General features: G+C 47.5%; 2 annotated features.

Moving 5' to 3' along the window:
• Nucleotides 7219-7268: a silencer, noted in NCBI's record as "silent region_16402". NCBI's record gives its function as "represses an Ori minimal core promoter by ATAC-STARR-seq in GM12878 lymphoblastoid cells {active_cell/tissue: GM12878}" and the evidence as "EXISTENCE:reporter gene assay evidence [ECO:0000049][PMID:35858748]".
• Nucleotides 9776-10276: an enhancer, noted in NCBI's record as "H3K4me1 hESC enhancer chr5:138001425-138001925 (GRCh37/hg19 assembly coordinates)". NCBI's record gives its function as "activates a minimal SCP1, AML or CMV promoter by ChIP-STARR-seq in naive H9 embryonic stem cells {active_cell/tissue: H9 hESC(naive)}" and the evidence as "EXISTENCE:reporter gene assay evidence [ECO:0000049][PMID:30033119]".

Here is a 10827-nt window from a genome sequence, read left to right as displayed (position 1 = left end):
GAAAAAATCAGAAGGCCAGGTGCAGTGGCTCATGCCTGTAATCCCAGCACTTTGGGAAGCTGAGGCAGGCAGATAGCTTGAGCCCAGGAGTTCGAGACCAGCCTGGGAAACATGGCGAAACTCCAACTCTACAAAAAATACAAAAATTAGCTGGGCATGGTGGCATACCCCTGTGGTCGCAGCTACTTAGGAGGCTGAGGTGGGAGAATCACTTGAGCCCAGGAGGTGGAGGAGGTTGCAGTGAGCTGAGATTGTGCCACTGCACTCCAGCCTGGGTGTCAGAGTGAGACCCTGTCTCAAAAAAAAAAAAAAAAAAAAAAAAAAAAAATCAGAAATTCCTCTAGGTATTTCAAGTAGATGGAATTTAATTTGAAGAATTGGTAACAAACATGTTGGAAGAAGTAGAGGAGCAAAAAGAAGGAGATGAGGTTATCCAAAGAGGAGTATTTAAAGGAATTCACTCTCAGCCCTAAGGCTGGAAGAGCAAAATAGGAAATGGTGGTAATCATAATCAATTCCTGAGCCATGGAGGCTGCTGTATAGGAAATGAACTGCTTGAAAGTGGGAACCCAAGAGCAAGCAATGTGGCCATTGCTAGAGGTGCCATCAAAATGCGAAAAGAAAATGGCAGCCAGGCGTGGTGGCTCATGCCTATAATCCCAGCACTTTGGGAGGCTGAGGCAGGGGGATCACTTGAGGTCAGGAGTTCGAGACCAGCCTGGCCAACATGGCGAAACCCCGTCTCTGCTAAAAATACAACAATTAGCCAGGAGTGGTGGTATGCGCCTGTAATAGGCCCTCAATAAATATCACCATCATCATCACTATGCAGTGTCATATCAGGATACCATCCTACAGACTCTGTGAGCTTTGCATTTGATATGCAGAACAGACTGCCAGGGTAATCTGACTACCTCACTTCACATCTGCAAAATGGGAATAAAAACAACCACAGGTTTCTTATGAGGATAATATATGTAAAATACTTAGCACAGTGCCTGGTACTTGTGTAAGGTCCCAATAAATAATAGCTATCTATTGGCTGTACTGAAAGTACAGCCAATATCATATGAGGGACACCCAGGCTTTTTGATGAGACAAAGGAGGTCTTAGCACTTGGAAATGTTGGGAACAAGGGTCTTAGGAGCATTCAGTCCAGAAAGTCGATAGGATCAGAGAAATTTCCATTGCCATCTTTGCTCCCACAGTTCTCCTGCAAAAGATCTTTACTGTGCTTTGCATCTTCAAACTTTGTTTGGGTCTCTAAGTGCGAAGTCCAGAGACTATGAAATGTGATGGGGGTTGAAGGATTCTGGTGGAGGAGTAGGGTACCAAACAATACAATTAGCATCATTCCAATTATTTATTGCTGTGTAGCAAAATATTTGATAGCTGAGAGCTTAGAACAATCATTTTTTTGTGCTCATGATTCCCTGGGTCAAGAATTTAGACAGGGTACAGTGGAGGGTGGGTTGTCTCTGTTCTATAACATCTGGGGCCTCAGCTGGCAAGATTCAAAGGATGTGGGTCTCTCAACAACTGGGGCTGGAATCACTGAAGGTTCAGTCACTAACATGTCTGGTTCCTGGGCTGGGTTGACTGGAAGATTAGGACTGCAGGCCAGAGTGCCTACATGTGGCCTCTCTGGATGGTTTGGCTTCCTCACAATATGGCGGCTGTAGAATAGTCAGACTTCCCATGTGGCAATTCAGTATCTAATCATGAGTTTTTCAGCTACCAAAGAGGAAGCTGCATCACCTTTTTTGCTCCAAGCCTCAGAAGTTTCTCAGCATTACTTTTTTTTTTTTTTTTTTGAGACAGAGTCTTGCTCTGTTGCCTAGGCTGGAGTGCAGTGGTGATCTCGGCTCGCTGCAACCTCTCCCTCCCGGGTTCAAGCAATTCTCCTGCCTCAGCCTCCTGAGTAGCTGGGATTACAGGCGCGTGCCACCACACCCAGCTAATTTGTGTATTTTTAGTAGAGTTGGGGTTTTGCCATGTTGCCCAGGCTGGTCTTGAACTCCTGAACTCAGGTGATCTGCTGGCCTCGGCCTCCCAAAGTGCTGGGATTACAGGAATGAGCCACAGCACCCAGCCTCTCAGCATTACTTCTGCTGCAATTTATTAGTTACAAAGGAGACATAAGCCCACCAGACTCAAGGGGAGGAGAATTAAACCCTATCTCTTGATGGGGGAAGAACAAAGTTCTAGAAGAGCATGTAGGATGGGAGATATTATTGTGAACATTTTTAGAAAATTTAATTTGCCAAAGGCTTGCAGGTTAGAATTCATACTTCCCATGGACTTGCCAACCATCCCAAGAGAACAAGGCCTAAGGTCCCCAAGGATGATGGGGCCAAAAGCACATGCTCCTGTCTGTGCCCTGCCTTACCCTGTGGAGGAAGCCTCCCGAAGACCCAAAAAGAGAAGTTACCTGAGGCCCAGAATGAGTCCTCAGAGAGTCCCCTGGCGAACACTCAGTGAATACATATCGCATCAGAGAGCAAGAGAGCTGCAAACTGTGCTGGGGTCCCATCTCATATGATGCGGCATAATGATGTTGATGGTGAAGATAAGATATTTACTGAGTGCCTATTTGGGAGCAGGCATTTAAATGTATTTTTGTTTTTCATTTAAGCCTCCAAAAGGAAACGTATAACCTTAAATGCACGTCTTAGAAAAGAAAAAAGATTGAAAATTAATGAGCTAAGAATTTATCTTAATAAATTAGAAAAAAAGACACAGCAAATAAACTCAAAGTAGAGGGAAGGAAATGACAAAGTGGAGAACAGAAATTGAAGAAACAGAAAACTAACATGCAGCAGAGAGGATCAGCTAAGCTAGCCACAAGCCAATTGTGTGAAAATTGATAAATCCCTGGTGATAATGATGAAGAAAAAGTTGAAAGAAGGCAAAAATATTCAAAGTCAGGAATGAAAAGAAAGGTATTGCTATGGATGTTACAGGCATTAAAAATAAAATAAGAGGATATTGTGAATAATTTTGTGCCAATAAAACTGAAGGGTATATTCGAAATAGACAAATTGGTTGAATACATAACTTAGCAAAACTGACTCACCTTGACACAGGAATCAGGATAATCCTATAACCATTAAGGAAATGAAATCAGAAGTCAAACATGCTCCAGGAAGAAAATCTCAGGCTTCACTGGCAAGTTCTAATCTTTTTTTTTTTTTTTTTTTTGAGATAGGGTCTCCCTCTGTCACCCAGGCTGGAGTGCAGCGGCGCGATCGTGGCTCATGACAACGTCCACCTCCCAGGCTCAGCCTTCCAAGTAGCTGGGACTACAGGCACGCCCCACCATGCCTGACTAATATTTGTATTTTTTGAAGAGATGGGGTTTCGCCATGTTGCCCAGGCTGGTCTCGAACTCCTGAGCTCAAGTGATCTGCCCGCCTTGGCCTCCCAAAGTGCCGGGATTACAGGCGTGAGCCACTGTGCCTGGCCAAGTTCTAATTCTTAAAACACCCCAGGAGAGTGTTATAATTCCCATCTTCAGATGAGGAAACGGGCTCCAAGAAATCAAGCAACCTGCCTAAGGGCTCAGAGCTAGTAAATGTCAAAGCCAAGATTTTTTTTTTTTTTTTTGACAGGGTCTGGCTCTGTCACCTAGGCTGGAGTACAGTGGCATCATCTTGGCTCACTGCAACCTCCACTTCCAAGGCTCAAGTGATCCTCCCACCTCAGCCTCCCAAGTACCACAGGCACACACCACCGTGCCCAGCTAATTTTTTGTATTTTTTGTAGAGATGGGGTTTCACCATGTTGGCCAGGCTGGTCTCAAAACTCCTGAGCTCAAGAGATCAGCTTGCCTCAGCCTCCCAAAGTGCTGGGATTACAGGGGTGAGACATCACGTCCGTCCTGAAGTCAAGATTTGAACCCTGGTTGACTTGGCTCCAAAGCCAGAAAGTTCAGCCATTATACTCCTCAGCCTCTCCTTCAAATGCTATAGCCAGTAGCATAGATGTGAGGTGAAGGACAAGGCTGTGGTCCAGAAGCCCTAGAGACAAGTATCTGATATGTCCACTCAGAGAAGAAGGAACCTGGAGATCCCCAGGACCCCACTCTGCCATCCTTCAAGACCTATTCAAATGCTACCAGTGCTTCTCTGCAGAGCACCATAAACCCTGCCCAGAGACCCCATAGCTGTCCTAGGCCCCCTCACCTTTAAATGCCTCTGTCTCTGGGCCTTTTCTATATATTGTCTGCTGTGTATCATTCTCACCAAAGTTTTCCAACCTTGGAAATGCATGGCTCCCTGAGAATACAGGTCTTGGTTTGAGAAAGCTGCACTGAAAAGTTAAATGCTAGGCTGGGCATGGTGGCTTACACCTGTAATCCCAGCACTTTGGGAGGCTGATGAGGGAGGATTGCTTGAGCCCAGGAGTTCGAGACCAGCCTGTGAAACACAGAGAGACACTGTCTCTAAAAAAAAAAAAAAAAAAAAAAAAAAATTTTTTTAAAAGAAAATAGAGGGGCATGGTGATGCACCTATAGTCCCAGCTACTCAGGAGGCTGAGGTGGGAGAATCATTTGAGCCCAGGAGTTAGAGGCTGCAGTGAGCTATGATCATACCACTGCACTCCAGCCTGGGAGACCCTGTCTCCAAAAAAAAAAAAAAAAAAAAAAAAGTTAAATGCTGGCACTGTAGCAGATCACTGGGGCTCTGAAAACTGTAAGGCAACTACCAAACTACCATAGTCTTCTAGGCCAGGGGTCTCTAACCACTAGGCTGCGGACCGGTACCAGTCCCTGGCCTGTTAGGAACTGGGCTGCACAGCAGGAGGTGAGTGGTGGGCAAGTAAGCATTACAGCCTGAGCTCTGCCTCCTGTCAGGTCACAGTGGCATTCGATTCTTCTTTCTCCTTTTTTTTTTTTTTTTTTTTTTTTTTGAGATGGAGTTTTGCTCTGCTGACCAGGCTGGGGTGCAGTGGCATGCAATCTCGGCTCACTGCAACCTCCACCTCCCAGGTTCAAGCAACTCTCCTGCCTCAGCCTCCCAAGTAGCTGGGATTATAGGCACCCGCCACCACAACCAGCTAATTTTTTGTATTTTTAGCAGAGAGGGGGTTTCACCATGTTGGTCAGACTGGTCTTGAACTCCTGACCTTGTGATCCACCCACCTCGGCCTCCCAAAGTGCTGGGATTACAGGCGTGAGCCACGCTCCAACCGGCCTTAGAGTCTCATAGGAGCGCGAACCCTATCGTGAACTGCACAGGCGAGGGGTCTAGGTTGTGCGCTCCTTATGAGAATCTAATGCCTGAGTACAGTTTCATCCTAAAACCTCCCTCCGTCTGTGGAAAAATTGTCTTCCACGAAACCAGTCCCTGATGCCAAAAAAGTTGGGGACCGCTGTTCTAGACCACCCAAAATATGTTCTTGCTAAAAGTTATTTTAAGATTTTCACTAAAATAAAAACTAAAATTTAAATATTCTCATGGTAAAATTTGTGGTCCCCGAAGATAGATTTTATAACAAGCATGAACTGCTCCACAACATAACGTAGCATTTCATTCTCTCTTGAAATCAAAATTAAATCCAGTTTAAGTTTTGTGGAATGCTAGATTTTGCTTCCATCTCTTCACCCCCTCCTGGGTAATAGGGTTATCTATCCACATTCTTTACCCAGTAACTGTGAGCAGGGTGGATTTCTCCATACCTTGCCTCGGCTCAGCCATGTGACTTGCCATGAGCAGCAGTATTTTAGCAGATGTGACATGAGCAGAGGTTTAAAATGGGCGTGCACACTGGGACTGTTGCTGGGGTACTTCTGCCATCTCCATGAATGTCCCCTGGCTGGCCTGCTGGTCATGAAAGGAGGATGAGGGACACATAGAGTGGTGCCAACCCATGCCAGCCAAAGCTGGCCTATAGCAATGAACCCCAGCTGGTCCCCAAACACATGCACTAAATAAACACTGTTGTATGCTGCTGAAATTTTGTGATTGTTCTACCGCACTCATTACTGGGACTATGGTTAACTGATACAAGCCCCTTCTTACCAAGATTACCATGTCCTTCAGTACTGGCCATCGGCTGTGGCCAGTTGCCACAGCTAATATGTATGCCCGGCCTGGTTGTGAAGCACATCTGCAGGTGGGGGCTGCAGCCCCACCTCCTCTGTGACAAGTTCAGTCATGGTGTCCTTTGAGAACAAAGGCTCCCAAAACTATAGCCCTTTGTGCTCAGCCCTCATAGGCATACATGGCCCTCAGTGAAATCTGATCGCCTGGGTTTGATTCTTGGATCCATAACCTTAGGAAGTTCACTTAATCTTTCTTTGCCTTATCTGTCAAATGGAAACAATGATAGTACCTACTTCACAGGGTTCTTGTGAGAAATAAGTGAATACGTACAACATGCTTAACACAGTGCCTCCTGGCGCACAGTAAGTATGCACTAAATGCTGTCTATTATTATTATCACACATGTGGTCACCCAAATATTCTTCCTCCTAGGTCCTCCCATCTCAGAGGATGCATCCTCATGAGTGCAGGTTTCTGCCATCGATGGAATTCATACCTTCATTCCCTTTCTGATCTTGAGAGTTCCAACTAACCCTCCTGAGTTGAGACCATCCCACTTTAATCTGGGAAGCATTAAGCCTCCAATCCTAATCTTTGTTTAAAACGTCTGTTTGGAAGTTGTCTTCTGGGTATCCTGCTGCTTGCAGCTTCTCTTTTCTACTCTGAACTACACCAATCCTCATGGGGGTCAAGAAAGTCCACACTTCAAGGACATGAAGCCTGGTTCTCTCCTGCCCCTCGCCCCAGGGATGAAATGCCTTTCATTCTTTTTAGGTGAGCCTGCAGCTGAGAAAAACTAGACATGGTTATTTCCTCAATAGGTCATTCTGCTACAATTAATTCTCAATAAATCTTCACCATGAGACTGAATTCCTCGGCTATGTTTTATTCAGTGTGTACCTCCAGCACTTAGGGCAGAACCCACACTTAGTAGGTGCTTGATAAATGTGTAAATGAATGAATGAAGAATATGAATCACAGGGTGGGAACAATTTTCAAACTATGGGTGGAGAAATCAACATGATCATTCACTGTGTGCCCAGCCTCCTGCTTGACACTGAGGTCCAAGCAAGAAAAGTAACAAGGCACTTGGAGCTTGTAGTCAAGTCCTCAAAGACTAAAGTCTACAAAGGAAACAGAGCTCAACCACACAAATCACTTGCTCTGCCCATCCCACATCAGAGGGAACCCAGTGAAGTGTTGGTTCAGAAGAGGCAGGATGTGGCCTAAGGTCTGAAGGCACGGGAGGGGCCGGGGCAGAGGGCACGGGGGGCCCAGCTTACCCTGAGATAAGGTGTCCCAGAACACCACGAGCAAGGGCACAGCACAGGAATGAGATGGCTATTTGTGGAAAATAACCATGACACCAGCCTGAGCCATTTGTAGCACTTGTGATAGGGAGTCATGGGGGTAAACTTAGCTATTTCAGGCTGTGGGCTCAGTGTTGAGACCTGGAGGTTAGGCTGGGAGTGGATCCTGGCAAAACTGGCCACAAAGACTGGCCTGAGGCGAGGTGTGACAGCACCCACTAGCAGCAGGGCTCTCTTTCCTCTCATTCCAGGACCAGGTGAGATTTGAACCCCTGCCAGAGACTCCAAATATGAGCCCACCACAGGGGCATATCCCTCTGCTCCTCTAAGAAGGTGAAATTTGTATGGGTGAGGAGGCTTTGGTTTCCAGCAACAGAAAAACTCTAGCTAACTTAAGCAAAAAATGATCGTATTAGAAAGAAATGAGGGTGGCTCACAGAATCAAAGAAAATGCTAAAGAGGCTGTCCCAGAAATAGGAGGAAGCAGGACATTGAAATCAAGGGCTATGGAACAATCCCTTTATGGTGCCGCCTTGGGGATACATTAATTCCATCCTTCCTTCTTTCTTTCTTTCCTTCCTTCCTTCCTTCTTTCTTTCTCTTTCTTTCTTTCCTTCCTTCCTTCTCTTTCTCCTTTCTTTCTTTCTCTTTCTTTCTTTTCTTTCTTTCTTTCTCTCCTTCCTTCCTTCCTCTCTCTCTCTCTCTCTCTCTCTCTCTCTTTCTTTCTTTCTTTCTTTCATAGAGACAGGTCTTGCTATGTTGCCCAGGCTGGTCTTGAACTCTTGGCCTCAAGCAATCCTCCTGCCTAGTCCTCCCAAAGTGCTGAGATGACAGGTGTGAGCCACTACACTGGGTCCCATTTTCATGTCATTCCATTTCAGATTCAAGGAGGTGGCCAGGCACAGTGGTTTATGTCTGTAATGCCAGCACTTTGGGAGGCTGAGGTGAGAGGGTCCCTTGAGCCCAGGAATTTGAGATCAGCCTGGGCAACAGAACGAAAGTCCATCTCTATTTTACTTACTTAATTAATTAATTTATTTATTTATTTATTTATTTTTAACCAGAGTCTCACTTTGTTGCCAAGGCTGGAGTGCAGTCTCTGCTCACCGCAGCCTCTGCCTCCCAGGCTCAAGTAATTCTCCTGCCTCATCCTCCCTAGTAGCTGGGATTACAGGCGCTTGCCACCACGCCTGGCTAATTTTTGTATTTTTAGTAGATATGTGGTTTCACCATGTTGGCCAGACTGGTCTCAAACTCCTAACCTCAGGTGATCTTCCTGTCTTGGCCTCCCAAAGTGCTGGGATTACAGGCATGAGCCACCACGCCCAGCCCCATCTCTATTTAAAAAAAAAAAAGGATTCAAGGAGGAGAGAGCATCTGATTGGCCTAGCTTGGGTCACATGCCAATCCCTTAGCCAGGGAATGGAGGTAGCCTTCATTGACAGTCCACCAAGATTACAGCAGCTGAAACAGTTGCCCCAAGCCAAATCTCCAAAGCTGATGCCAAGGCAAATGGATACTGAGCAGGCCAAAACAGTGGCTCTCCATTACAGGACGTGTGCACTGGGAAAACCTAGGGCCCAGTTGGTGCTGCAGGCTGGGGAGAGCGGGAGGATGGAGCAGTTACCTGAACTGATAGGTGTACCCTTGTGACTGGATCCCTAGGCCTCAGAGCCCAGAGTCTACTTCAAATTCCTCCCTTAGGGGCCTTCAGGACTGTTAGGGTGAGATGTGAGCTGGTGTGGAAGAAGGGGCTGTTAAGGTTCTAAGTGGCTGCAGTGAGCTGAGATCACGCCGTTGTACTCCAGACTGCGCAACAGAGCGAGACTCCATCTCAAGAAAAAAAAAAAGGTTCTAGGTGGGAACCCCAGGCCAGTGTTGAGAAGTGAACCCATGAAACTGAATAATTTAATAGTTCCAAAGTGGGAGGAGGGAGGGACTTGGCTTTTCCTGGGATATGGCAAGCATGGACAGTAAGCCCATTCTCAATCTCCAGGATGCCAAGAGGGTCAGGCGTTCCCCCGGCTTCCCCAGGCCCCTCACACCACATGGAATTTCAGAAGATCAGAGGCAGAGGCCAGTGCTCACGCAGGGGAGAAGTAGGGAGAAACCTCCTGCTTCATGCAATTGAAAGAGAGTCAAACGGGGGCGGGGGTTTGTTAGGAAAGTGTAATTACCAAGCCTGCCTGTTCCTAAAGCCTGGCACGAGGAAAATGGGACCATCTGGGATCCTGATGCTGTACAGCGGGGGCAGAGGTAGACTCAGGGCAACCGAAATCTTCTCCTTGTGGTTGGAGCCTCCCTGAGCCTTGTCCAGACCTGGCCCAGCTCAGTCTGAGAGGTGGAATGAGTTCTGAGCACAGGTTGCAAAGGGACTTGTAGGCTCTTCAGGAACCAGGGAGGAGTGGGCTTACAAGAATGTGACATCAGGAGGAGGAGACAAGAAGGTTCTAGATTCACTCTCCATTCTTCCCTGCCCTGCTCAGAGCCACAGGAAGCTGACCTCTGTGGACTTACTGCCCTGGCTTCTTGCCCTCAGCTTCCTGTTGGGTTTGGCCAATGGAAGCCACTGGCAGGAGACTAGCTGATGGGATGAGAAAGAGGTCAGGGCACTCATTCCACACCCTCAGCCCCACTGCTGGGCCTGGGTGTTGGCAGCAGCTGCCTTCCTCTGTAGAAGGCCACAGCTCCCACAGGGCAACAGCTCTCCCCCAGCCACAGCTGTCACCAAGTTCTGCCAATACCACGCCCAGGCACAGTGGCTCACACTTGTAATCCCAGCATTTTGGGAGGCCAAGGCGGGCAGATCACTTGAGGTCAGGAGTTCGAGACCAGCCTGGCCAACATGGTAAAACCCCATCTGCACTAAAAATACAAAAACTAGCCAGGTGTGGTGATGCACACCTGTAGTCCCAGCTACTCGGGAGGCTGAGGCGGAAGACTCACTTGAACCCAGGAGGCGGAGGTTGTAGTGAGCCGAGATCGCACCACTGCACTCCAGCCTGGGTGACAGAGTGAGACTCTGTCTTAAAACAAACAAACAAACGAACGAACCAAAAAACCCACCATGCCTCCTCTTACCCCTTCCAGCCTCCAGGTGCTAAGGGCTTTCTTCTGCAGCCAGGCCCTGGGTGCCTCCCGGCCCTCGTAGTTTCCTGCAGCCCCAGTCGCCTGTCACTAGTCTTTTCATTAGCCTCTCCTCAGCTTACCCTCTGAAGGAGCCACCTTTTTTCTGCAGGCCCCTGGTGGAACAACCTCTTACTATAGCACAGCAGCATGGAAGCCCCCTATCACCTTGGCCCCTTGCTGAGCCCCTTGCTTGCCCAGGGCTGCCTCAGAGAGAACAACAGTCAAGGAATCTCAATCAAGTGTTCTCTGGTGTTTGGCAGAGCCCTTAAGAGGTTATTCTGTCACCTCCCTGCCTCCACACATGGAGAATAGTAGTAGGGCTGAGACTGGCCAACCCAAGA

This window comes from Homo sapiens, chromosome 5 (assembly GCF_000001405.40).
Source record: "Homo sapiens chromosome 5, GRCh38.p14 Primary Assembly".
Classification (NCBI taxonomy): Eukaryota; Metazoa; Chordata; class Mammalia; order Primates; family Hominidae; genus Homo; species Homo sapiens.
Note: the sequence above shows the minus strand (reverse complement) of the source record. Positions and strands in the feature narration are given on the sequence as shown.